Source organism: Homo sapiens, chromosome 10 (genome assembly GCF_000001405.40).
Source record: "Homo sapiens chromosome 10, GRCh38.p14 Primary Assembly".
Classification (NCBI taxonomy): Eukaryota; Metazoa; Chordata; class Mammalia; order Primates; family Hominidae; genus Homo; species Homo sapiens.
Window position 1 is genome coordinate 10,768,440 of NC_000010.11, and position 27,981 is coordinate 10,796,420.

General features: G+C 40.7%; 1 protein-coding gene and 2 pseudogenes across 10 annotated transcripts in view; 1 reads left to right on the forward strand and 2 right to left on the reverse strand.

The window, feature by feature from the left end:
- CELF2 (CUGBP Elav-like family member 2) overlaps window positions 1-27,981 on the forward strand; it is an 874,126-nt gene that overhangs the window by 305,890 nt on the left and 540,255 nt on the right. The gene's annotated exons all lie outside the window — the stretch shown is intronic.
- On the reverse strand, window positions 7,813-8,228 carry ORMDL1P1 (ORMDL1 pseudogene 1; annotated as a pseudogene).
- Window positions 16,000-26,475, reverse strand: SFTA1P (surfactant associated 1, lncRNA; annotated as a pseudogene). The gene is made up of 4 exons (NR_027082.1): window positions 26,259-26,475; window positions 23,933-24,086; window positions 18,206-18,296; window positions 16,000-16,230 (listed from the first exon to the last, which is right to left on the reverse strand). The product of NR_027082.1 is annotated as a surfactant associated 1, lncRNA (transcript).

Genomic DNA, 27,981 nt, shown 5'->3' on the forward strand with positions numbered 1-27,981 from the left:
CAGAAACAAGTATCCCAAGGCCCTGGAAAGAGCTAAGGTCAAGAAGATCTGAAGAAGTTGAATGTATGAAACAGGTTTTACACCTCTGTCACTTTCCTTCTCCAGATCCCACTTTTTCTTTCTTTCTTTTTCTTTTTCTTTTTTTTTTTTTTAAGATGGAGTGTCATTCTGTTGCCCATTCTGGAGTGCAGTGACACGATCTCAGCTCACTGCAACTTCTGCCTGCTGGGTTCAAGCGATTCTCCTGCCTCAGGTTCCCAAGTACCGGGGTGTACAGGTACCCAACACCACCCCTGGCTAATTTTTGTATTTTTTGTAGATACAGGGTTTCACCATGTTGGTAAGGCTGGTGTCAAACTCCTGACCTCAAGTGATCCACCCACCTCGGCCTCCCAAAGTGCTGGGATTACGGGCGTGAGCCACTGCGCCTGACCCTCTTTCTTAATTTTTATTGTTCTACTAGAGTATGTGTCCCTGCTAGTAGCTGTCATTTGCAGTACTGGTAATGCATGCTCCCTCTGTCCTTCCTTCTACCTGCCAAATATATTACCTACTAAAAACAAAATTGTAAAATAAGCAAAGAGAGTTTTTGTCCTCTTCTCATTTCCTATTTGTTTTTCCTCTCTTCATCCTTTTGAGATTGTCTCCCCAAGATATCCTTCAGCTTAGTACAACAGATATTTATTATATGCTTTTTATGAGCTTGGTATTGTGCTACAGAATAAGAATGCAGAGATTAAAGCTGTGGCCCTTTTCCTGATGAACTCAAAGTCTATCAGGCGAGAGAAAATGGAACTGGGCATTTCTCGCATCCAAGTTCTCCTGTCTTAAAGAATGAGTAGAGATTGGTCCATCAATGAATGATGGGAAAGGCCTTCCAAGTAGAGAGAATCACCTGATCAAGGGACAGGGGCTAGAACAGTGAATGGAGAGAACTGCAGTCAGTTCTGGGTTACTTGCATAAAACGTGCTGCAGTGAGAGGTTAGTGACTGGTAGATCACATGGGATTTTTCATATCATAATAAGAAATCAGCTCTGTAGGCCAGGCGTGGTGGCTCATGCCTGTAATCCTAGCACTTTGGGAGGCTGAGGCTGGCAGGTCACCTGAGGTCAGGAGTTCAAGACCAGCCTGGCCAACATGGTGAAACCCCATCTCTACTAAAAAATACAAAAATTAGCTGGGCATGGTGGTGCATGACTGTAGTCCCAGATACTCAGGGGACTGAGGCAGGAGAATCACTTGAACCCAGGAGGCGGAGGTTGCAGTGAGCTGAGATCACACCACTGCACTCCAGCCTGGGCGACAGAGCAAGACTCCAACTCCAAAAAATAATAATAATAATAATAATAATCTCTTTATTCAGTAGGTGATGCTAATTCACTTTAAAATTTTAAGCAGAAAGGATCACTTAGAATTACCTCCTAAATACATGACTCTGGCTAAAAAGTGGAGAATCAGTTTACAGCAGTAGGGAGACTAGACTTAATTGCTGTACCACTGGAGTTGTCCAACCAAAGGATGATGAAGGTCTGAACAAGTTACATGGTGATGGGGGGTTAGAAAGAAATAGCTTAGAGATATTGTAAGTACATGGGGACATAAGTAGGATTTTGTAGTCAATTGGATATATAGATTGATGTGAACAGGGGTTTATTAGAAAACTTGAAGGTTTCTGATGAGAGCTTCTAGATGGATGCGGTGCGATTAGCTGGCATTGAGGATACAAGAAGAGGTATACAGGCTTGGCAGAAAAGATTGCATAATTAGTTTTGGATATGTTAATATTGACATCTCATAGAACATTCAAGTGGACCTGGGAGGCGGAGGTTGCAGTAAGCCGAGGTCGCGCCACTGCACTCCAGCCTGGGCGACAGAGCGAGACTCCATCTCAATCAATCAATCAATCAATCAAACAGCCAGCAAGCAGGAGGGGAGAAGGCTAACTGCAGGACTGACCTAGGCTGAGGTCTGCTGGGGTGGAGGCACTGGGAGAATGAGGTTGCAGGGTATTTGAAGCAGCTGGGGGAGAGGGTTCAGGCCAGCAGAAAATTAGAGCAAACTGAGGAATCATGAGCTAGGAGTATGAGACTGAAGGGAAATTATTAAATAGGAAGGAGGAAACAGAGAGAGCTGGAATCATAGACTGTGGCCAGAAAGTAAAATATGAGGTTCAGATTATTCTTAACTGCACAGAGCCCCCACTGCAATGCCACCCCACCCCCCACTCCTCACCCCAGGCCCCATTTAGTACCAGCCCTAATTCCTCTTTTCTTCTTCATCAAATTGTATTCATTCTATATCTCATGATTTTGAAATCCTGCTAAGTGAATTTGGCTAATCTGTTTAATTCATAAGATGTTAATGGATGATGAATGCTTGATGTGTTATCCATCCCAGAAAATAGACTCCTAATGATAATTACTTAAAACAGTACTTCTTATCTAGGGATGTGTCAGAGTCACCTGTGGTGCTGTTTAAATACTAAGCCCCTCTGGGCTTCACCTTATGAAATCCTGATTCAGAAGCCCTGGAATGAGCACTGGGCGTTCATATTTTTGCAAATTCTTCCATTAAAGAGACAGATCCTTGGGAAAGAGATGAGGGAATAGACGAGTGTTCTTCTAGTTGCTCAAACCAATAACTTCCATATGTAATTGATGTTAGCAATTACTGCTTTTGCCTGTCCCTGAAGCTTTTCTCTTCCCCATCTTCTGATTTTGCATTCATCCCTGACCCAACTTGCAATATCCCTAGGCAGCCAAGGTGACCTTTCCCTCTGGACCCAGTGGGAGACATGACCTAAGCAGAGTCAACTGGAGACTTTCTCTGAGACTGAGAAATAGATCCGGAAGCCATAGTTTACAGTGATATTGCCAGTGTGATGTAAAGCTCAGGTTACTGGTGCCATCTTCCCAGATGCTGGCAGAAGCCTGTCTTTAGAACAAAGCCAAGCAGAGGTAAGCAAGCATGGCATAAGTGCCTGGTTGAGTCCCTGTCCCTGATTCTGGTTTCTGAAGTTCTTCCTTCAGTCCTGCTGATACGGTTTGGCTGTGTCCCCACCCAAATCTTGAGCTGTACTCCCATAATTCCTATGTATTGTGGGAGGGACCTGGTGAGAGATAATTGAATCACTGGGGCAGTTTCCCCCATACTGTTCTCGTGTAGTGAATAAGTCTCATGAGATTTGAAGGTTTTATCAGGGGTTTCTGCTTTTGCATCTTCCTCATTCTGTCTTTGCCTGCTGCCATCCACATAAGAAGGGACTTGCTCCTCCTTGCCTTCCACCATGATTGTGAGGCTTCCCCAGCCAAGTGGAAACTATAAGTCCAATTAAACCTCTTTCTTTTGTAAATTGCCCAGTCTTGGGTATGTCTTTCTCAGCAGCGTGAAAACGGACTAATACACCTGCACGCTGTCCCAGTATCCTTTCCAGCTATCAGAGGCAACAACACAGATTTCAGTCACTTACAACTGAAAAAGTTCTGATTAATATATAGACGTCGGGCAAGTTTTTCCTAAGTACATCAACCTGCTATTTGTTTCTCTAGGTTCATTCATCTGAACGTATATGAAAACCTTAGACAATTCCATGCCTTAGACTATAGCAGAATGGAGTAGAACTTCATTACTGTGCCTATTGTACAGAAAGACCAGTTTGATTTAGAGGAAAAAAAAGGTAGATTGTAAAATGTACCTTACCGGAAGTATTATTATATTCAAGAAAAAAAAAACTGGAACTAGCTTAAGACTGTTCTGAGGATCTGTTTTTAGTAAAGAGTTTGGAAAGTAGAGTCACATGGGAGGGAATTTGGACTTGCAGTCTAATCTTGGTCTTCCCACTGTTCAACTATATGATCTTGGGGTGAATCTTTTGAGCTCTCTAAGCCTAGTTTCAACTGTAAAATGTAAATTTTATTACTCTAGATTTTTAAAACTCAGCTTTCAATTATTCAGTGTAAATGGATACTTTTTCAAATGTTTAAAATTACATGAAGTTTGTTGGTTTCAATTTAAATGCTGTGTCTTCTACCTTTTCATAATTTTTAATTTGCTAAGCAAACCTTTTCGATAAACACTGCTGCCTAGTTGCAAGGTGAATATTTGCAAATTAGGGTCCGAGTCAATGAGCTTGGGATGTGCCCAAGTGAACAGGTGGGCTTGGTGCTATCACAGAGGGAACGGTGAGAAAGCTCTATCAACAGCCAAAAGCTGTAGGTTCACCATTGCTTCTTATTCCTCCTTAAGGCAGAGCTATAGAGGAGAAGCTCAAGATTTCCCTTTAAATTGTCCCCATGAGATAATTAAATACAAATCCTTTATTTCCTAGGAAGCCTCCCATATGGGTAAAAGATGTGAAAGATCAAGGCAACATATGTGAAAATGTGTCAAGTAAAAAGAAAACTCACTATTTGAACATCTTTAAAAATCAAGATAAGAAAGAGAATACCATGGGAGTCATAAAAACTTAGCTCTAGGCCAGAGAAATGTTGCTTTTAATTTTTATATAGTAGAAGAAAATTTAGTGCATGAGTAACGTTTCATTAAAATGTATACCTTTAAAGATGTATATTGTCACATTTGAATGGGGGGGACAGCAGAAGGTAATTTAAACTGCCTGACATGCTGATTTAGCATTTCTGCAGTGAACAGCATCTGCCACTTGGAATAACATTATATAGGAAATCTCTTTAAACACAAATATGGTGTTGATTTCTAAGGAAGAATATGAAACGGGAGGGAAAAATAACCCCCCACCTTTTATATTGACCCACCTTTTAAGATTTTTCAAGGGGATTATTGTGTTATATGTGCCCGAGCATGACTGTCTAAACATCCCATCACTGTAGGCGTTGATATAGGCACAAACAAAAAGCTATGAAAACTGAAAGTGAGAAATTCTCCTGTAACTTTTCAAACCCGAACACTTCAACTGAAATCCTTTTGCTTCATGTTGTGATTAAGGCTCCGACATTATTTGCAGTGGTTTGATTTAATTATAACATTCAAAATTCCTGTAGGCATTTATACATATATTGGCACTGTCCTTTGATTTAAAGTTTAGCATGTTGTATGGGTAAAAATAAGCCACTGGAAAAAAATATAAGACTGACTATTTGACAAGCATGCTGAGCTTTAACTGGGTACCTCTGACTACATTTGTTCTTTGATTTGAGTGGTATTTCAACACTGGCTGTATGTTAGAATTACCTGCAGGACTTTTCTAAAAATGCAAATCCTTTATACCAGATAAACTGGAAACTCTGGGGGTATTTTTCAAAGCCCAGCCCTCCATGCTCCACAGTTCTGGGATTTTTTAATCTCTCAACCTTGACCTTTTCCCTGTCTCTGACTGTTCTCCCTCCTCTTCCTTCTTCACATGGCCCAGACCCACTGCTCCTTCCTTTTAATTTGCTAAGCAAACCTTTGCGATAAACACTGCTGCCTAGTTGCAATGTGAATATTTGCAAGTGAGGGTCTGAGTCAATGAGCGACAGGTTCATCATTATCCTCCCATCATTATCTTCCCCATATTCACAGCAAAACAATTCCCCACCACTTCCATACTTGATATTTTCTACTGTCATGGAGAGAAAAGGCCAAGATTGTTGCTGCTGGAGACTAGTCCCAAATCTGAATCAGGCCATTTATGCTGCCTGGTAACTTCCTTAAGAGATTTCCATAAAGGATTTCTTTCTATCAGCAGAGAAATATTTATTAAGCATTCACTCATCAGTGTTCTAGGTACTGGAAATACAATTCCAAACACGAGAGATGGGGCCCCTGACTTCAAGGAGCCTTTGTGGATAGACGGAAGCACACGGTACACATAGACAAATTAGTGAATGTGCACATGTAGGGGCGGCCGTGCACTATGAAGTAGTTAAAACAGGGTGGTATGGGGGATACAGTTTGGATCTGGGTTCCCACCCAAACCTCAGGTTCAGTTGTAATCCCCCATGCTGGAGGTGGGACCTGGTGGGAGGTGACTGGATCATGGGGGTGGATCCTTCATGAATGGTTTAGCACCATCGCTTTGGTGCCGTTCTCATGATAGAGTTCTTATGAGATCTGGTTGTTTAAAAGTGTGTGGCACCTTCCCTGCCCCCGCTCTCGCTCCTGCCATGTGAGATGTGCTGGCTTCCCCTTGCCTTCCGCGATGACTGTAAGTTTCCCATGGCCTCCTCAGAAGCCAAGCAGATGGCGCAGTGCTTCCCGCACAGCCTGAGGAAGCCTGAGCCAATTAAACCTCTTTTCTTTATAAATGGCCCAGCCTCAGGTATTTCTTTATGGCAGTGTGAGAAGGAACTAATACAAATAGGATGGTGTGGTGAGAAGGGACCAGCGGGTTTAGGGCACTGGTGGCATTTTCTCTAAGAATGCCCAGGGAAGGCCTCTTGGGTGAGCTGATATTTATTTATTTACTTTTATTTTTATTTATTTATTTTTTTTTTTTTGAGTCAAAGTCTCTCTGTGTCACCCAGGCTGGAGTGCAGTGGTGCAATCTTGGCTCACTGCAACCTCCACCTCCCAGGTTCAAGCAATTCTCCTGCCTCAGCCTCCCGAGTAGCTGGGATCACAGGTGTTCACCATCATGCCAGCTAATTTTTGTATTTTCAGTAGAGACAGGTTTCACCATGTTGGCTAGGCTGGTCTTGGCCTCCTGATCTCAGGTGATCCACCGGCCTCAGCCTCCCAAAGTACCGGGATTACAGGCGTGAGCCACAGTGCCTAGCGTGAGGTCATGTTTTAGTTAAGACCTGGAATGTGAGGAGAGGGTCTTGGAAATATCTAGGGAAAGGAACAGCCACTGCAAAGGCCCTGACAGAGGAACAACCTTGGCCTGTCTGAGGCACAGCAAGGAGGCACTGGGGCTCTGGGATGGTACAGAGAGAAAGCAGGAGATGGAGGCCAGGTGCGGTGGCTCACACCTGTAATCCCAGCAGTTTGGGAGGCCAAGGCAGGCAATGACTTCAGATCAGGAATTTGAGACCAGCCTGGCCAACATGGTAAAACCCAGTCTCTACTAAAACTACAAAAATTAGCTGGTCATATGCATGCATGTAATTCCAGCTACTTGGAAGGCTGAGACAGGAAAATCACTTGAACCCAGCAGGCAGAGGCTGTAGTGAACTGAGATGGTGCCGCTGCATGACAGAGAGAGACTCTGTCTCAAAAAAAAAAAAATATATATATAGGGGACAGAGACATAGAAACAGACCAGGAGGCAGAGCATCAGGGGCCTCCTAGGGCATCATAAGAATTCCAGATTAGATTCTAAACATCAAATTGGAGATAGGAGACCAATGAGGAGTGATTTATGGTAATAAAAACAATCTTTAATAACCTTGTAAAGAGATCATTCTGGTTTCCATGTACGTCTGCTTTAACTGATGGTGACTGAAGGATGGAAATGTTCTTTTCCTAACACGATGCCCTTTCATTATAACTTAAGCTGGTCCTAGTTTCTTACAAATCCCTTATTTCCTTGGATTTCTCCACTGCACCCTCACTGTGCTGCCTTGTCACTTACAAGCTGGGCCTGCCCAATGTGTTTACAAAGCCTCTCTTCAGAAATATACCAGATGTGCTCAACAGAGGCATCATTAATAGAAACCTCCACTTCAAAACATCATATGAAGAACCAGCAATCAGCCCTCCAACGTAAATACCTCCCATTTCACAGTATTACAGAAAGAGTGCAGTTTACTAAGCATGCCTTCCTTACAGGAAGTTCAGTAGCTGTAAAAATTTTTGTTCAGTTTCAAACGTTTCACTGCTTATTAATTCCAAAGATCGGAACGCTGTGTTGTTGCTGCGTTTGGGGAGTTTAGCATACTCAGGAGAGAAGCCGTGCTTACGACGGAGTGAGTTGGAGCATACTTCTATAGAAACTTGCTGGAAAACACAGAATGATTGGAGAAATGGTGAAAAACTTCTGTGAAGATGTAAACGGTACTCCGTCACCCAGCTGTTCGCAGTGCGTTGGGATCCTTGCTTTACCCTGGTCAGGGGTTTCCAAAGGTGTTCCTTTCAAGCATGGAAAAATTCATTCATCCCCAGATTATGTATAATATTTGTCAAGATCTAAGCAATGAGAACACGGAAGAAGGAATGCTGAGTAAGACAAAAGGAGCCCAATGCGTGTGTCAGCCACAGACCCTGGCTGTCCACTACATGGGTATTTGGATTCACTTCACTGTGGGCCACCCCAGCGTTCATGTTTGCTCCACATCCCCACTCCCGGCTGCATGCACAGAGCAGGACCAGCCCAGCAGCCCCAGCTCCCATCGCCTCATGCCCTTGGCCTTCTAGCCCTCAGCTTGTGGAAGCCCAGGGAGGAGTTTCAAGCAGGGGTACTAAATGATCTGAAGACAGCTTCTTTAGGCCTTATTTTCCCCATTGGCCAGCGGCCACTTGGCTTCCTGCTGTCACTCTTGTGACAATGACCTACAAAGGTCAACACGTCCTCCGGAAGGCCATGCCCTCTGCATTCTCTTCACGTCTTGGCTATGCCATTCGGCCAATCACTCACTCCCTTCTTTTATAAATATTCTCTTTTCTGGAGTTCCATGGTCTCCATCTCTCCAGGTTTTCATTCCCATGCGCTACCCGCCTCCCGATTGTGGCATCTCTTGTGTGCCCTCTCTTGTCCATGCACCCGCTGTGGTCAGTGTCTCTCAGCATTGTGCTCTTGGCACTAACTTCTCCTGACTTTACACTCTGACCACACCAGAAAACCCTCTTCCACTCCACCAGCTTTAGATACACCTCGCTCGATTGATCCCCACATTGTCACCTCCATCCAGAGCTCTGTCCCATGCTCTGGGCCTACGTATACTCTTGGCCCTGGTGCATCCTCATACAGATGTCCCAGGTGCTACAAATTCAGCAAATACTTCCTAGACTGAATTCATAATCATCTTGTCAAGGCAGCTTCTCCTTCTGTGCTTTCTGTCTTGAATGATGCAATCACATGTAACAAGCTGTCCGAGCTGGCATCCTAGCTATCACACCTCACCCCTCTATCTCCTTCATCCTCAACATCCCATCAGCCACTCAGTCCAGCCTTCGCGACATCTTTCTGTTTACTCTTTTCTCCTCTCCTCCTGCCTCTGCCTTGACTCAGATCCTTTCTCCTCTGCTGCCTGGGTCAAAGCCTTGGTCAACTTGTCTCCCCACCTCCAATCTTTCTTCGTTCCAGTCCATGTTTCCGGTGCAGCCAGGGTGATGTTTCTACAATGCAAATGATAATTTGCCCCTCTGCTGAAATCTGTGTGTGGTCCTCTACACTAGCCCCCTTTGCCTTGAGGATGAACCGAAATCCCAAACCTGACTCCATAGCTCTTCATGATCTGGCCGTTACCTACCTCTCTCCCTTATCACTTCCTGGCCCTTACCCTAAACTCAACCCTAATAAACTCTCAGCAGCTTCTTACCCACCTTGCTCTCACTTCCTGCACAGCTGTTCTGTCTGCCTCTACAGCAGTTCTTCAGCCGCACCCCTTTTCTACTTGACAACTTCAGGTCTCATTCTAGAGTTACTTCCTGCAAGAATTCCTAAAAACAAACAAAAAATCATGTCTCCTGTTAAGTATAGACACTGGTGCAATCAGGTTCGGGAGATGGGGGCCCTGCACCCCATATTTTGGAAAGAGTCCAGTGTCGTGACAACAAAACTGTAGTTGAATTTATAAGTCCAGAAAGGGAGCAAGGGGTGTTGGAGGTCCCAGTTTCTTGGTCGTAGTGAAGGTGGGGAAGATTTGAAAGGGATCTTACGCAGATTCAATGACCCAAGAGAGGGACCTTTACAACCTGGAGGGGCCAGATTGGCAAGAATATGAAGCATCTCAATGCCTTCCTGCATGGATGTCCAAGAAAATGCATGCATTGTACACAGAGTCGTACACAGAGTCCTACATCCAGTGACTCTCCTGCCTACAAAACTTTGGCAAATTGATATGTTCCCAGAACTTAGGTCAAGCCAGGAAAAGAGAGAAAAATTATGACTTAACTGAGAAATAACTGAGCTTCCCTGGTGAAATGGGAGCTCAAAAAATAAATAAAGTCAAATTATAGACAAATAGAACACATTTCTTATAGTTGAGAGTTGTGAACTGAGATTTGTATTGCCCTTTTTATTACCCTGAAGAGTAATCACCTGTTTACGTGTTTGCCTCTGAGGAGACTCTCTAAGTCCCTCATGGTGATATACCTTTTGCTGGCTAATAGCATTGATTCTGGTTAATAATGATTGATAAATATATGTAAAAAATGAATAAATTTTTAAGACCAAAAATTTGCCATAATTAAGAACTCTGAGAATCTCGGTCTGCTGGGCACAGGCAACTAGGGAACAGTGGGTTGCAGTCCAGGTACATATATGGTGCAATGGGATTGCAGGAAGAAACAATTAAAATTTGTGCTGGGAGTCTAGGAAGGCATGGAGGATGTGACATTTGAACTTAGATGTGGAGGTAGGCAACAGGTCTTGACACCCATTTGGATCCCACAATCAGGCCTAACTAATGAATTTATACACTATCTCCACTGAAGGCCAACAGAAAAAGAACAAAGATGGGGGCCTTAGGAGAAGGTATTTGCAAAGAACCTAACAGGTACTGGGCATTTGACAAAGTCTGAGTTCATCTTTCCCCATTCACCCTTTCCCGCCTCCTTATACTGTATCATCTCTCCATGACTAACATTTGCAGAATGGATTACAGCTCACAGACTGTGTTCATTTGACCCTCTTATGTAACAGCGTATCTCCAAGGTTTAAAGAATAGTTTCAAAACTCAGGAGCCAGAAACTTCAAGCTAGCTTTGCCCTACTTTCCCTAACACAGGCTTGTTCTGCACTGTCACTTAATGCAACATATGGTTGGTGTGAGTAAAGACTAAATATGAGGACCCTGCACTTCGCACATGTAAAAACCTTACTCAAGCCAGGGCCGGATCAGAGGAGCAGCAAATGTCTTTATTCTTGGGCCCCGTTCATTGCACCTTGACAAACCTTCCTGATTCTCCACCCTTCCTTCTCCTTCCTCTTTTTTTTTCCCTTCCTTTTCTCCTTTCTTCTGGCTCCGTCTCCCTCACCTCATGTGGCTGTGGAAAACTTTCTAGCTATTGAGCATTAGCCCTAGCTGTGATGACCATGAACATCCAGCGAAGGGTTTTTCTGCCTCGCTCTACATCATATTCATCTGAGGAGATATTATTTTAAGGAGATGCTCATGGCCTCATCTCAAGAGATCTGAAATCAAATATTCTGGGATGCAGCCCAGGCATTGGTATTTTTAAAATGCTTCCCCAAGAAATGCTAAAGTGCAGTCAGTATTGAGAATCACAGATCTAAATTTTCCCTCCATATCTTAATTTCTTTTTCTATAAAATGAACTCATTGGCCTGAAAGCTATTAAAAAAAAAAAAACTTTAAACTTTCTAGGTGTGAAATATCTCCCAGAGACCTAAAGGCATATCAGATCAGTGGATGGATCACTGCAGAAAGGTTTGGGTGGGACTGGGAGTTCAAGGTGATGGGAGGTTAGGGATGTTTTGCGGGTAACATGGAAAGGGAGAGATGGACTAGTGGGTTCTAATAACTTTTTTGTTCACTTTAAGTTCTGATATTTCTGACAGTAGAATGTTTTGTGTTTTTGTGTTATTTTGTTTTTCCTAAGAGGAATAGTCCACACTTTCTTTGAAAAAAGTACATTTTCAATCATGAACTTGGACATCTGATGTTATTCAAATTCTCTGGTTGTTTTGTGTTGTTTTAATATGGAGTCAGAGCCAACTAACCATTTTATAGAGCTTCCCAATCTCCCCTAATTCTGTGCATATGACTATCTGGCAAGAATAAGAATTAATGATTCCTGGAGGCACTTACCCTAGGCATTTTAAAGAAGATAGGTGCTCAGTGCTTCTTGGTGTTGCCAGATTAGCAGTATATCCTGGTAAATTCAAGAGACCTCTTTCCATCCTAATCTGTGACAGTGATAACAGAGGGAAACGTTTGTTTGTTTGTTTGTTTGTTTGTTTGTTTGTTTGTTTGTTTTGAGATGGAGTCTCGCTCTGTTGCCTGGCTGGAGTGCAGTGGCACTATCTCAGCTCACTGCAACCTCTGCCTCCTGGGTTCAAGCGATTCTCCTGCCTCAGCCTCCCAAGTAGCTGGGATTACAGGCGCCTGCTACCGTGCCCAGCTAATTTTTGTATTTTTAATAGAGACAGGGTTTCACCATGTTGGCCAGGATGGTCTCCATCTCTTGACCTTGCCATCCACCTGCTTTGGCTTCCCAAAGTGCTGGGATTACAGGCATGAGCCACTGCGCCCGGCAAACAGGGAAACACTTAAGCCAAGGGGCTTATATAATCCCAGCCTGTGGTATTTGCAGGGGTTTGTATTTGACATCATTGTCTAGAATCCCACTCATCAGCACAACTCTAATTAACATGCCAATGAGTATTAAGTTGGGGTTACTACAGACTGAGCAACTACTTCACTTGGGGCTCAGCAGGTTTCAAAAAGCAACATGCCTCATTGATAAAACATTCTACTCTTTTTGAGTCATCACAGAAATGCTCAGAAAGCAAATAATTCCACAAAGAAAGCACGTTGTGAAAATGAACCCACTTACCAAAAAAAAGGTAGTCTTCAGTGTCTGTATTAATCAGTGATCTTCACTGAAAGAGAACAAATAGTACATACAGTCTTGCACCACATAATGGCATTTTGGTCAACAACAGACCACATATATGAGTGGCCCCAGCAGATTATAATGCCATATTTTTACCTTTTTTATGTTTAAATACATTTAGATACACAAATACTTAGCATTGTGTTACATTTGCCTATAGTATTTGGTACAGTAACATGCTATACAGGTTGGTAGCTGTGTTAGTCTGTTCTCATGCTGCAAATAAAGACATACAGAAGACTGGTTAATTTATAAAGGAAAGGAGGTTTAATGGACTCACAGTTCCACATGGCTGGGGAGGCCTCACAATCTATGGCAGAAGGTGAAGGAGGAGCAAAGGCACGTCTTACACGGAGGCAGGCTGGAATGTGTGTGCAGGGGAACTGCCCTTTATAAGACCATCAGATCTCATGAGACTTATTCACTATCATGAGAACAGCACAAGAAAAACCTGCCTCCATGATTCAGTTACCTCCCACTAGGCCCCTCCCATGACACATGGGGATTATGGGAACTACAGTTCAAGATGAGATTTGGGTGGGGACACAACCAAATCACATCAGTAGCCTAGGTGTGTATTAGGCTCTACCATCTAGGTTTGTGTAAGTACACTCTACGCTGGTCCCACAATGACAAAATCACCTACAGACACACTTCTCAGAACATATCCCCATTGTTAAGTGGCACATGCCTGTATACAGTCACCTCCCTGTATCCATACTACAACTGTGGATTCAACCAACCGTGAATCAAAAACATACTAAAATGATTAAAATAAAAGGTAATAATATGGCAATAAAAATAATACAAATTTAAAAAGCAATACAGTATAACAACTATTTACACAGCATTTACATTTTATTCGGTATTTTAAGTAATTGAGAGATGATTTAAAGTATAAGGGAGGATTACATAACTTATATGAAAATATTATGCCATTTTACGGAAGGAATTTCAGCATCCTCCAATTTTGGTATTCATGGGGGTCCTGGAACTAATCCCCTGTGGATCCCAAGGGACAACTGTATATAGGAAGAAATTTATTATGAGAAATTGGTTCATGCTATTATAAAGACAGAAAAGTCCCAAGATCTGCCAGCAGTGAACTGGCAACCCAGGAAAGCTAGTGGTTTTGAGGAAAGCTAAATTCAGTTCGAGGACAGAGAACCTGGGAGAGCTGTTCGTATAAATCGCAGTGTGTGGCAGGAGAAGAAGAGATGAGATGTCCCAGCTCAATCAGTGAGGCAGAAAGAAAGGGGGCAAATTCCTCCTTCCTCTGCCTTTCTGTTCTAGTCGGGCCTTCAGTGGACTAGATGATGCCCATCTACATTGGGGAGGGCCATCTGCTTTCAAGTTCACTGATTCAAATGCTAAGCTCATCTGGAAACACCCTCACAAATGTACCCAAAACAATGTTTAATCTGGGCACCTCATAGCCCAGTCTAGTTAACACAAAATCAACCATCACAGTGTCCTTCCCCCCTTGCCAGTAAACAATCTTTATGGGAAGCTCACCAAGTGGTAGCACTGTGTTTTCCTTTCTTCCTCAGCATCTCATCCTGAATGCGCCACTTTCTGAAGGAGGATTTATTCACCTTCCTTTGCTCTCTTGTGACCAGACCTTTCAGGTTCTTTGTGATGTCAGCTAGGTTAGTCTGCGGTTTCTCAGCCATCGTGCCCCCTGGTCTGTGATGAGTCAGACTGGACTGCTCATTTATTTGGGGAGAGCAGTAAACATGAATGGGATTGTATGACTAAAGTTCAGCCGTAGACCCTCCCTTGTGAATGTGACCTCAAAGTGTTTAATTAAACGTTCTGACTATAAATGTATTTAGTAGATTTGAAGGGTTACTATGAAGATCATGAATATGTTTTATAGTCTGTAAAATCCTATATAGGTTTAAGGTAGGATGTATCTCTTTTTTCAGAAACATTAAGAAATTTCCTCTTGTGAAGGGTTTTCACTCTTTCTGGTTAGTCCTGACTTCTTTCGGGTGGCAGAAAAGATTTGTTATGGGCTGAAATGAGTCCCCCAAGATGATATTGAAGTCCTAATTCACAGTATCTGTGACTGTGACCTTACTTGAAATAAAGTCTTTGCAGATGCACAAGTTGAGGTCATTAGGGAGAGCCCTAATCCGGTATGACTGTGTCCTTAGCAAAAGGGAGACTTTGAACACAGAGACAGGTACAGGGACAGGAAGATACAGAGGGAAAGTACAGAGGGAGAACCCACAGAGGAGATGGCCATCTACAAACCAAGGGATGCCTGAGGCTACCAGAAGCTCAGAGAGTGGCAGAACAGATTCTCTCTCACAGCCTCAGAAGGAACCAACCCTGCCAGTACCGACACCATGATCTTAGACTTCCAGCCTCCAGAAGTATGAGACAATAAAATTCTGTTTTCAAGACACTCAGTTTGTGAGACTTTGTGACAGTGACCCCAGGAAATGAATGCAGTATTATTTCCAGAAGAACTGAATGCTCTGCAGTTGAAGTTCTAAGCAACAATCTTCAGTCTCCAAGCAGGAGTGCTCTCAAACAAAATCAGAACTGCATGTCATGGGGCTGGGCACAGTGGCTCATGCCTATAATCCCAGCACTTTGGGAGGCCAAGGCGGGCAGATCACGGCATCAAGAGATTGAGACCATCCTGGCAACATGGTGAAACCTTGTCTCTACTAAAAATACAAAAAAAAAGTAGCTGGGCGTGGTGGTACACACCTGTAGTCCCAGCTACTTGGGAGGCTGAGGCAGGAGAATTGCTTAAACCTGGGAGGCAGAGCTTGCAGTGAGCCAAGATCGTGCCACTGCACTCTAGCCTGGTGGCAGAGCAAGACTCCTTCCCAAAAAAAAAAAATAAATAAAGAACTGAAGGTCATGACCTCCAACTTGCTGACTTTGAGTCAACTGGGGTTTTATTTCTGAGGTTTAGATGGCTCCAGATATTCAACTAAACACATTTCAACCCATCTCACTGAAATGGGAGAGTTCCCTGAACCCCCTTGCAGGATGAGCAACAGGGATATGCCTCATTTATTCTGGTGCTGTGTGCTTAAACTCCTTACAGGCTGGGGAGCACACAGATGGGCAGGTGTAGGAGCTGGGATGAGCACCCCTGGGTTCCAGCCCCATGGCAGCATCTAGGGGTGGGTGTCCATGACTCCCAAAGCCCCAGTCAGCGTGTTACAGTGCTAGCCTTGTTGTCCATGAACAGCTTAAGTGTTAACCAGCTCAGTGCCCTCTTGATACCCAAGTCCTTGTCCAGCATCCAGGAAGAATCAGGTCACACACAGACTTGAAAGATGAATGTAAGGTTTTATTGAGTGGTGGAGCTGGCTCTTGGTGAGATGGATGGGGAGCTGGAAGGGGGATGGAGTGGGAAAATGATCTTTCTCCGCAGTGTGGCCGTCTAGCAGCTAATCTCCTCTCTGACCATCCCCAACCAAAGTCTTGTCAATGTTCAGTCACTCCTTCTCTTCTCTTTGCCACTCCATTCTTCTGTTCTTCTGCTCTTCTCTTTGTCTCTCCCTGTGGAGCCAGCAGTTTGGGGTTTATGTGGGTACAGGATAGGGAGGTGTGATGGGGCAAAAGGCAACTTTTGGGCACAAAAACAGGAATACCTGTTCCCATTTAGGGCCACAGGATTTCTGTTTTGAGGGTGGGGCCCTTGCTGGGTAACTGCCTTCTCCTACCTAGTATGTCCCTGTCTCCTGTCCATATCATCACCTGTACAGGTGGCTGATAGAGTTTGCAAACTGCCTTCCACATGGCCTCACCTCTACAACCAGACTTCACATAGGTAGGCTTGGATCCATGAATATCTACAACCAAAGTGTTCAGTTACAATAGAAAACACTACAGTTGAAAGTGCTTAATTATATAGTTTTACCTTTTTCAAGTCAAGTTCCATTAAATTTGCATTATGAAAGATTACTGTCAAATATAAGATGAATATGCATAAAATTCCATATGCATTTCACTCAAGTTTGAGTTACAGCCAATCCTCACCTTGATTCTTCATGGTGATCAATCAGGGATCCATGTAATGCAGTGGCACCGAACCCACCCTTTACATCAGCATCACCTGGAAGTTTTAAATAATACTGACACCTGGGTGCCAGCTTCTGAGATTCTATCTCAATATCATCTGGAGTGTGCCATGGACATTGGGATTTTAAAAGTTCCCAGCCCAGACAGAATTATGATATGATCTAGCAATCACACTACTGGCTATATATCCAAAGGAAATAAAATCAATATGTTGAAGAGATATCTGCTCTCCCATGTTCATTTCAGCTCAATTCACAATAGCCAAGATACGGAGTCAACCTCAGTGTCAAACAACAGATAAATGGATTTTTAAAATGTGATATATATATACAGGAAATACTATTTAACCTTAAAAAAAGAAGGAGATCCTGTTATTTGTGACAACATGGATGAACCTGGAGGACATTATGTTAAGTGAAGTAAGCCAGGCACAGAAAAACAAACACTGCATGGTCTCCCTTATATGTGGAATCCACAAAAAAATATCTCTTAGAAGCAGAGAGTAGAAGAAGGGTGGTTACTAGAGCATGGGAGGGATGGGGGAAGAAATTGGAGAGAAGTTGGTCAAAGGATACAAAACTTCAGTTAGGAGAAAGAAGTTCAAGAGGTCCATTGCACAACATGGTGACTATATAGTAAATGTATTCAATGTATTTTACACTTGAAAATTGCTGAGAGTGTAGAATTTAAGTGTTCTCACCACAAAAGAATGCAAAGTATGTGAGGTATTAGATATGCTAATGGGCTTGATTTAGCCATTCCACAATGCATACATATATCAAAATGTCAGGTTGTATATCATAAATATATATCATTTTTATTTGTCAATTAGAAAAAAACTAATTTAAAAAAAATGTTTTCTGCAAGTGGAACCTCCAAAATTGGAAAAATAAATAAATAAAACAAAAGGTCTAGGCCAAGGTGGAAAATCTCTGGTAAAGCACTGGCTCCGGGGTCAGCCACACAGGAGCTGGAATTGCTCACAATTGCGCCACTGTCTACCGGCAGGGCTACTTTGGCTATGTTTTCATTTCCTCAGTGACACAGGGACAATACATGCCTCATCGTGCTTCTGTAGCATTACATGAGATAATGCCCATGTTAAGGGTTATCATGAAGAGAAATCTCCTTTGGACTCACTATACCTATAGATTTCTGGTCTTGGGTATTTACAAGAGGGAATAAAAAATGACCCTGGACTACCACATCAGGAAGGCACCCAATAAGCCAACCATAATACAGATCAGGATGATGAGAAATCTTGCGTCACACCTTGTGATCCATTTGAAAAAAAAAAAAAAATTCCTAGAAAGGGTTAATTCTTTTAAAAGGAAGTTATAAACCACAAACCCTTGAAATAGTTCTATATTTCTCAATCTGCTATTACAAGTTTGCTGCAATCTGTGATTCAACTCAAAGAATGGAAATCAAGTGAGAAAATAAACAGCCTCACCTTATTTGCAGGAGGTCACAGGGAAGTAGAGAGGGGGATGAAGAAATACATTTCCATCCTGAGGTGGTCTGCCATCTCACTTGAAGAGGTGCTACAGGAATAAGAAGTGTTCTAGAATTAAGCAAAGTGAAAATCTGAAAGACAGTGAATTTAACCATTCTCTACCTCCTGCCTCTACAGGAAATATTTACCATCTACTCCTTTTGATCTTTATTTGCCTATAAGGATTATGTTATTAAAACACACACACGTAGACACACACACACACACACACAGGAGTGCAGGGAAGGAAAAGCTACAGGGCAGCTGGTCATATCCCTGTTTTCATAGTGAACTCATCTCAGAAAATTATTTTCAGTTTTCAAGTGAATGATTTGAGATACCCACTTCATGGACAATCTCAGACAAAAATTATGTGGCGTGTGTTAGAACTTTAATATGTGTTAAATATTCAGTTATAAAAAGTTCCTCCCTTGCATTTGTAATTATAAAGTGACATATTCATTGAAACATTGTCAACCAGAAATCAGAATTCTCACTTTTTAATGCTTCAGTGGGAAGAAAGCCCTTAAGGTTTGATGTCACACACACACACACACACAAATTCTTATTTAAATGTTATATCAAGCCTTTTTTTGCAAATGAATTATAATGGTTTCTAGTCCAGTAATGCTGGCCTAATAGCTAGGATACAGTTGTTTTTATGCTATCAACAATTTTCATTTTTGCTTTTCATTTAATACTTTTAAAAACAGAACATACTTAGAGTAAAACAGAGAAATTAGAAAAAAACAACAGCTGGTTAAAAGTGAACTCAAGCTTTTTCTCTCCGGTTTCCCAATTTTCATAAAACGCAAACTTTATAAACAGGAGAGAAATGGTCAAACAAGCTTGTTTCTCAGGAAGCCTTAGCTTTTAAACAGAAGACACCCGAAGGCAGAGGTATATAAAGATTATTGTTCATATACAGCAGTGATTCTGTAATTAATTCGTTTGAGCTTTGTGAAAAGTATTCTTTGTCCCTACGTAAAGTCAGGGCTCTGTAGTTTTTCCCAGTTATTTTATCATTACCCTCAATCAGCTGAGCTTGCTACATTCTTTTTTCCTAGATCGAGTACTGCACTGGTTGGCTGCATTCTATATTCCCCTTTCTTTTTTTAATCCCCATTTATAAGGTGACTATCCAGAGAAGCATGTGTCCCAGAGATGGCATGGCAGTGCTAGCTTAAACCTTAAAGCCTTCTTTTCTGCTTCCAAAGCCATGCCGGTTCAAATCATTATGGGATGTCCTAATATTTTCTATAATAAAAGACACTTTGGCCAGTGAACTGTCAAAATCATATCACCAATAGACTCTACCACTAGATTAGAAAATTGCTTAACATCACCTAGAAATACTTGAGGACATTAGATATGATTTGCTGAAAATGAGGCCAAAAATGATTAGTGCAAGCCATAAGGGAGAAAAATTAGACAAATTTTTGAAGCCCTGCTTTTCAAAGAAGCTTCAGACCAGTAAGAAATGTTTGTACAAATAACAACAGTCTATAAGAATGTAGCTGTATGGATATATTTCAAAATAGAAGGTCAGAGGCAAACTTCAAAATAGGACCTTTTTTTTTCTAAAACTACTTTGTACCCCCTAAAAGGGTGACTAAATAGAATAATATGAGAATGGTCCTGGTTTTCTGATTATAGAAAGAAATATATGGAAATAACTTAGTAAATAAGGAAAGGTATGAAGAAAATAAAATTAAATGATTGAAATTGTACCAATAATTGTATTACTTTTGTATATTTCTTTCCATCTTTTTTTTTTTTTTTTTTTTTTTTTTTGAGATGGAGTCTCGCTCTGTCACCCAGGCTGGAGTGCAGTGGTGCAGTCCTGGCTCACTGCAACCTCCACCTCCCAGATTCAAGCGATTCTCCTGCCTCTCCCTCCCAAGTAGCTGGGATCACAGGCGTGTGCCACCAGGCATGGCTAATCTTTGTATTTTTAGTACAGATGGGGTTTCGCCACATTGGCCAGGCTGATCTCGAACTCCTGACCTCAGGTGATCTGCCCGCCTTAACCTCCCAAAATGCTAGGATTACAGGCATGAGCCACCCTGCCCAGCCTCTTTCCAGTATTTTTTTCCATTTGCACATATAAGTATGAATGTTGGAAGTCAAAAACTGGAAGCACCTCAATGCGTTTTTGTCTGGGCTGCAGTCTACAGTGGCATGGAAAGATTGGAGCTGGGTTAGGGCCCCTATCTTCGGAGAGCTCCTCTCTCCTGCTTGCCACACCCACCCCTGCTTGCCCTTTGTTGCTACTGAGTTGTCTTGCCAGTTATTATGCTGTCTTACCCTAGAGATTTTCCTGTGGCTGGTCTTCAATTAGAGTAAGAGGAAAGAAATACGGGTGTTGTCGGGAGGAAAGATGATTGCAAAAGAGAAAGCTAGACCAAGAAAGCTGAATGTTTCTAGAAAAGCAAGAGAAAAAAAATCCTGTTGCATTTTAATAGACAACTTCCCTGTCCACAGTACCTCTATGGTTCCTCTCTGGGGACTATGGGCAGTTGAGTTTGCAGTCCTGGTAGCAATACAAAATACTGATATCACATTCTATGTAACATTTTGTGACTTTTGATCAGTTATTTCATTCTGAAAGTCTTTCAAAGTCATTCCACCAAAACATGTTTTTGATTGTTTCATAATATCCAGTTTTATAGATATGTCATATGCATATATATTTAACCCACATTAAATTATTAGATACTAAGTTGCCTCTGATAGCTTATTAATATAATTAATACTACTACGAATATCCTGCACATAAACCTTTAAGAAGAAAACTTTTAGAAATAAAAATCCTGTGTCAAATATAACATTGTTTTTAGTTTTTGATACATGCTACCAAATTGCTTTCTGGACAGCAATTGAAACACTCACCAGCCATATATGAGTGGGCCTATTTCATTGTACCTCATTGTATCATTACATATAATCAATTAAAGGTGTTTACAAATTTGATGGGTAAAATGCTATATTGCATTTTGTTTTTACTTATATTTCTTGATTCTTACAGAGATAGTTTTTATATGCATTGTTTCATTTGAATTTCTTCCTCCATACATTTTCTGGTTTGGGATTTTGCATACATACTATCTATTATTGTATCCACAGGGTTTTGCTCTTTAATAGATCCATATATATTTCTTAATTTGTCTTTCATTTTTACTGTTATATATGATGTTTTTGATAAACGGATTTTTATGAACTCAAACATGAACTTTTCTTTATATTTTAATTGCATTTTATTTAAAATTGTTCTTTATAAATGCTTTCACATAAAAGCAAGAAATGAAATTATCAAGACAAAAATTTGCCTTCCTTATGTTTTTCTCTAATTTTCTATGGCTTCACTTTGTATATTTAACTTTTCTGTCTGTTATTTATTTTGGTTTTGAATATGAATTGAAAATCTAATCTTTTTACCTCCACAGCGTTCTTGTAATATTTCATATGACATTAGTTGAGTAATTATTCCAATTTCTCTGTTAGGGTTTTTTAAAATCGTCTATTAGTTTTTATATTCAAGAATATATTTTATATTCAAGTTTTTATATTCCCGTTATGTATTTGTTAACGTTTGTGCTAACAGAACCCTACTATAATTATTGTTGTCCAGCTCTGTCCTTTACCCCTTGGGAATGTCTCCCTCATAATAGTACTTATATGTATGTAGGCTTTGATTTATATATGACAATACTAATCCTTCTCTGGATTCTGGAAATGCTTGCATAGTTTCTGTTGCCTACACCTGAAAAACCATTGGTCCTTTTATAAATTCTGATAGAGTATAATACATGATACATACATGAGAACTAACGTGGGAATTATTTTCCTTTATAAAGGACAAATTAGGGATAGATGTTTACAAAGAAAGATATTACGGCAAGCAAGTGGTCATGATATTACTATAGCTGTCTTGCTCAAAGGACACAGATTTGGTTTTTAAAAGGAGGGGTGAATGGTGAAAGGATTACCAATGAATCTTCAGTGATCTAAGGTTAAACCTATGGCTTCTGCCTTCTACCATGTTCTATGAATTAAATATGTTCATGGAAAATATTTATTTAAATCACAGTGTTCATTCAATCATCCAATTGAATGATCCGTATGATTCTAAAGATGCTTTATTTATCCTTCTTTCTGATTGTCAGTTAGAAGATGCCCTTTCTGTAAGGAATTCAGTAGGACTCTCAAGCTAGATCACCTGGCTTCAAATTTGGCCTCTGTCACCCACAAACTACAATCATCATTTACCCTCTCTGTGCTTAGTTTCCTCACCTATAAAATGAAGATTAAAATAGAGCATACCTCAGAGATTGTTATGAGTATTTAGTGGGCTAGTTTTTGTAAGTCTTTAGAACTCTCCTTGATACATACTAAATTTTATGTATTCATTCAATAAAATTCTCTATTTTCATTTCAGATCTTTCTACTTACAACTCTGTCTCAATTGTTTAGTGATCTAAAAAAATGTTGATGTACAATAGCAGAAATTATGTTAGAAACACTGAAATATTTTATAGTCTACATAGCTTTCTGGGGGAAGTCATTGAGATTTTTATAGATTGAGTGTGGTAAACTAGCAGGTGAGCTTTGTTTTCCTCTCTTTAATGTGGCAAAAAAAAAAAAAAATAGGGATTCAAGAAACCAGTTGGAGCCGGGGTACAGCTACCAATTTCCAACTTTGCCAGTAAACAAAGATGTATTTTCAATGGGCCCATGTCCCAACTTTTAAATCATTCATGTAATTACAAATGATTTTTAAATTTCTCATTAAATTATGACTTTAGAAATGTTTGGCATCAGGTGACTACTGAGATCATTGAGGTAAACTTTTCATTTTTTACTAGAATAGTTTAGTGTATTTTTTTCTTTTCATCAATAGTGTAAATGGATATAGTTTCTATTCATCTTAGATTATAAAGCTTCTAGTTCAGTATAGATTCTAAAATAATTCTTTAAAAGTCTCTGTGAATTGTTTTCTTATCGTTGGGGAATACGTTTTATCACGGCTCCCCAGGGTATCGAAAGTGGACCAGCACTGGTCTGTGGATTGTTTATTACAGTTTATGACAATTCTTAGGAGTAAGAATTTGGAAATGCATAGCAATTTGACGGAGTAATTTTATGGCTTTTAATCCAATATTTTTCTTAACGGGGTTTGTATTGTTTTTCTAATAGCTTGATTTTATTTGTATTTAACAAAAGTACTGGTCTACAATGAATCAAAAACTTTGAAGGAAAGAAGGAAGGAGAGAAGGAGGAAGGGAATCGAAGGGAGAAGGAAAAGAGAAGGAAGGGAGAAGGAAGGAGGGAGACAGGGAGGAAGGAAGGAGGGAGAGAGGGAGGAAGGAAGGAAGGAGGGAGGAAGGAGGAAAGGGAGGGAGGGAGAGAGGTTCCTCACCACAGTGGGAAGTACTGCCTTACCTAGTAGCCAAATCGGAAAATGTTTTGACATGCTAAACGGATCATTTGATTGCTCAACAAATGCTTTCTGTAATCAATCAATAATCAATCAATATTTGTGTGCAGTGGTTACCACCTTGAATTACATTAACAAGTTAGTTTTTAGATCTGTCTTCAAGTGAATCTGTGGTACATTCTAACTTTACTTAGGTCTGCTGGAGTTTTTGTGGGGGAGTGGGGAGTGGGTAATAATGGAAGGCCTACCTTTTTCTCGTTGTAATTCAAGGGCAATATTCCGGGTTAGGAATTCCATCTCTATGAGCAGGTGTTGACATTGTTTCTTTGACTGGCAACTTGGCAACTGTATTCGGCTTTCCTTGAAAACTCAGATTTCCCTCTTAAAAACAGATGAGGAGTCCTGTTTGTAAGCACACAAAAACCAGAACAATCTAAAGCTGCCATTCAAAGAAAAACAAAACCAAAAAAGACTGTAAGATCAATGTTTCAGGTGTGATTCCCTGGTCTATGATATGGAGACTATCTGAGCCACAGATTTTTCCTTTGGGTATTCCTTTGTCCCTGTGGGTGTGAGCCCTGTGTGCTAACAAAGGCCGACTGGAAATTAAAAGAAGAACATGACACAGCTTTGAAAATCTCATCTCCCATGGCAGTATAGGAGTTAAAGCTCTTTTTTCCCCCCTACTGTATGTACCAAATTTGGTCTGTGATTCCTTTGAATGGTATGAAAAGCAGCTGGCTGGGTGTGAGTCTCCTTCCTCTCTTCCTTTCTCACTTTAAAATATGCCTGGCAGAGATCCAACATTCCCCTTCCCCTGGCTTTAATCCGTTTTACCCTCCTGTTCAGCTGACCAAGATTCCAAATGAAAAAAGCATTCCTTCCCAATTGTTAGGAGAGCCTTAGAACCAGCAGAAAATGTCAGACACATACGTGGACCCCAAATAATGCACTGGGTCTTTTGCATATATGTAGCAGGTTTTGTAGCTGTCTCTTTAGAGGCCCTTCAGAATTTTTTCTTTTTTAGCTTATCAAATGTCCCATAATAGCAATTCCTAAGTCATCGATGAAGGACCAAAACACATATCTTTGTTCATAGACTTTTCATTGTACCAGGTTTTGTGAGCAAAACATGAAAGCACTTGAAATCCCATTAAAGTTACATTCATTTATCTAAAAAAGAGAAAGAAAAAAGCCATCTTTGAAAGTTTGTCTCTATAGACATCATTAAAGTGAGGATATGTACAAAACACATTTTATGTAACTCAAGATTAATGGCTAACTATTCAGGTGCAGATTTTTTACAGTGGGAGCTGATGCTTGGGAAAAACAAACAAACAAACAAAATAAGAAAACATAGCCGCTACATTAACTGCCAAGTCACTGTGCATAAAATAAATATAATACAGACATGCCCCCATGTTTTACAAAACATCAGTTTCAATGCTTCTCAACACATCAATATTACCAACACTTAAAAATGCGTTCAACTAGCCAATCTTAGGACGAGAAGACCGTATGGAATTCCCTAATTTTCCATATTTGAAGAAATAGGCATATTTTGATCCTATCACTGCTTTGTTCAAAAAGCAACCTCCAAAGGGCCTTTTTATGTTTGGCTTTTAACAACTAAAACAATATAAAGCTTGAAGAACAAATAAATTTATTTTGATGCCTAGTCAATAACGTCAGAGGTACCATTACCAACCTCCATAAATAAAAAATAATCACCACAGTGATGCTGGTAATTTTTATTTAAAAGTCCATTTAGCAGAGGGTTGCCAGATTTAGAAAATAAAAACAGAGGAACCCAAAGTTGAATTTCAGATAAAAAGACAATGTTTTCTTTTTTTTGTTTTTTTTGGTATAAGTATATCCCATGCAATGGTTAGGGCCATACTTATACTAAAAAATTATTTGTCGTTTCTCTGAAATCTGATGCACACGGGGTGTGCTGTATTTTATCTTGGAACCCTTGACTATCATTGTTGCCACGCCGTGGTTTGCTATGAAAAGCATGGAAAGCTGGGTCCTATTTCCAGGGTCCAGAGCAAGTGCTGGGGTTTTTTAGCTCGCTCCATCTGCCAACCTTAAAATTTTGGCACGTTAACAAGATCGGGAAATCTTCTGCAGCAGGAGAATGAATTTCCAATTAGTCATTTCACCTTCTTAAGAGGAGAGAGAGAGCTTACTCACCTGAGAAGAAGGCAAGAGCCGGCAAAAATAAGAAGAGAAAAAAAACTAGGATAACCAGAAAGGGAAAGAATTTAAACCAGGAAGTAACAGAATTAGGAATAAATAAGTTTAAAGCAAGCCGCTCCAAAACAATAACAAAAACAAAAAATGTTTAGGATAATCAGATCCTTAGGAAGAAAACTGCAGTTTATAAGAAATGGAGACACCCAAAGAAAGACGAATGAAAAAATGACAAAGAAAATTTTGTATTTCTTTCGTAACAAACCAGTTTTTTTTTTAAAGCCCCTATCAGGAAATTAGACATTTTGTGGGGCAGCAACTTACTAAGACACCACACCTGTCTTTCCGGAGCCTTATTAAATGGTTGGCTTTACTTACAATTGATGGTGAATGCCTTTCCCTTGTTTGGCTTACTCGTGCCACAAGGCCCATCCTACTCTTCTGCTGAAATAAGATGAGCTTCCACGGATTTTCACCTTTGGTGCTAATGATATTATCCTCAACCACATGAAAGCCCACCTGGAATGCTGTATAACCAGGAGAGATGTTCTCCTGACCTTCTATATCCGCATTTCCCAGGGCGCTCTCTGCCAAGGTCTGAAAGAAATGCAGATTCCTTGCCTCCTAGTGTTGCCTCTTGACTGACACTCCACATTTTCCCACACTTCCCTCATGACTCTAACCCCAGTACTTGCGGAAACCACAGGCTCAGAGGGTTGGGTTTGCTTGGATGGAGGAGGTACAAACAGTGGGCTTTATTTTTGTTTGGAATTGGGTTGTGGTTTTGGCTTCTCCACCGAAGAAACCAAAGGAAGGGGGAGGGAGATCACAGAAATGTTAGCTCTATGAAAAGGAAAGTGACGAGACTTGTTGCTGGTACTATCAGGACAATCACGAATGTTGCATTATATGGATTCAACTTTTTTTTTTTTTTTTTTAACAGGGAACTCTCAGGAGAGGTGACTCTTTAAGAATCATTATGAATGCCAAAAAAAATTTTTTTTTTATGTAAAGGGGTAAATGTATCAAAATTGTGAAAAAGAAGACAAAGAGAATGAACTCTTACAATTTATAGAGTGACATGACGGAAAACTAATTTGGGGCTGAAGTTTATTAAGGCTGAACCTAACTCATTTTTATAAATAGAAAATTTACTGTTGCCTTTCTGTGTTACAGATAAATAGTTGGCCCAGTTTTGAACAAGGCAACATTTCTGTTTGTTTGTGTTTAGGAAGCACCCTCATTGTTGAAGATGAATTAATTGTCTTGATGGCCTATTTCTTAGTAGGAAACAGATCCATTAGGTGTGATCCATTGAAATCAGGAATGAAATACTTAGGGAAAAGGAAAAAGAAATTTGCAGTATGTGATAGCATGGAATTAATTTCCAGTATATGTAAACATAAACACACACACACTTGGACTTTGAAATTAAGAAAAAGGCAAAATATTCTGCCCTTCTTGGACTCAATGCATCCTTTAAAAGATAATTTCTCTCCTTCCTCTCTAAATACTTTTGGGAAGTGGGTTTCAAACGTTATCCTCCTAAACTCTAGGGTTTCTCTATAGGGTCTTAGGAGTGAATCGGTGAGACTCAGGGATTCCTCTTACCCATCCCTATCCTGATCCTAACCCCAACCCCATCCCCACCCCAGTGTCTGGGCGTAACAATAATTGTTATATTTTAGTTGTTCCCCGCAGTTGCCTTCTACCAAAGACCACTGAAGCTGATTTTCCGTTTATGGAAATGACTTTAAAAATCCCTTTTGAAAAGCCCCCAAGCAGATGGAAGAAGTGCTGTGTGGCGGTTACTCGCCAGGTCCACAGGCATCGCTTCTAAGTTCAGTGCCCTGAGAGCTCAGACCAGTTCCTTAATTTCTCCACACCCAAATGTCTTCATTTGCATTAACAAATGGGGAGTACAACTCATAACTTACCTCATAAACAAGTTGGTTATGAGGAGTGAATGAATCAACACACCTAATGAAATTAGAACCGTTCCTAGTACCTAGTAATACACTTCAGCTACTACTGTATCTGTTTCTGTACTTGGGCTTGGTACAAGATTTTATTTGAAGGAACATTCTACTGACTACCTTTA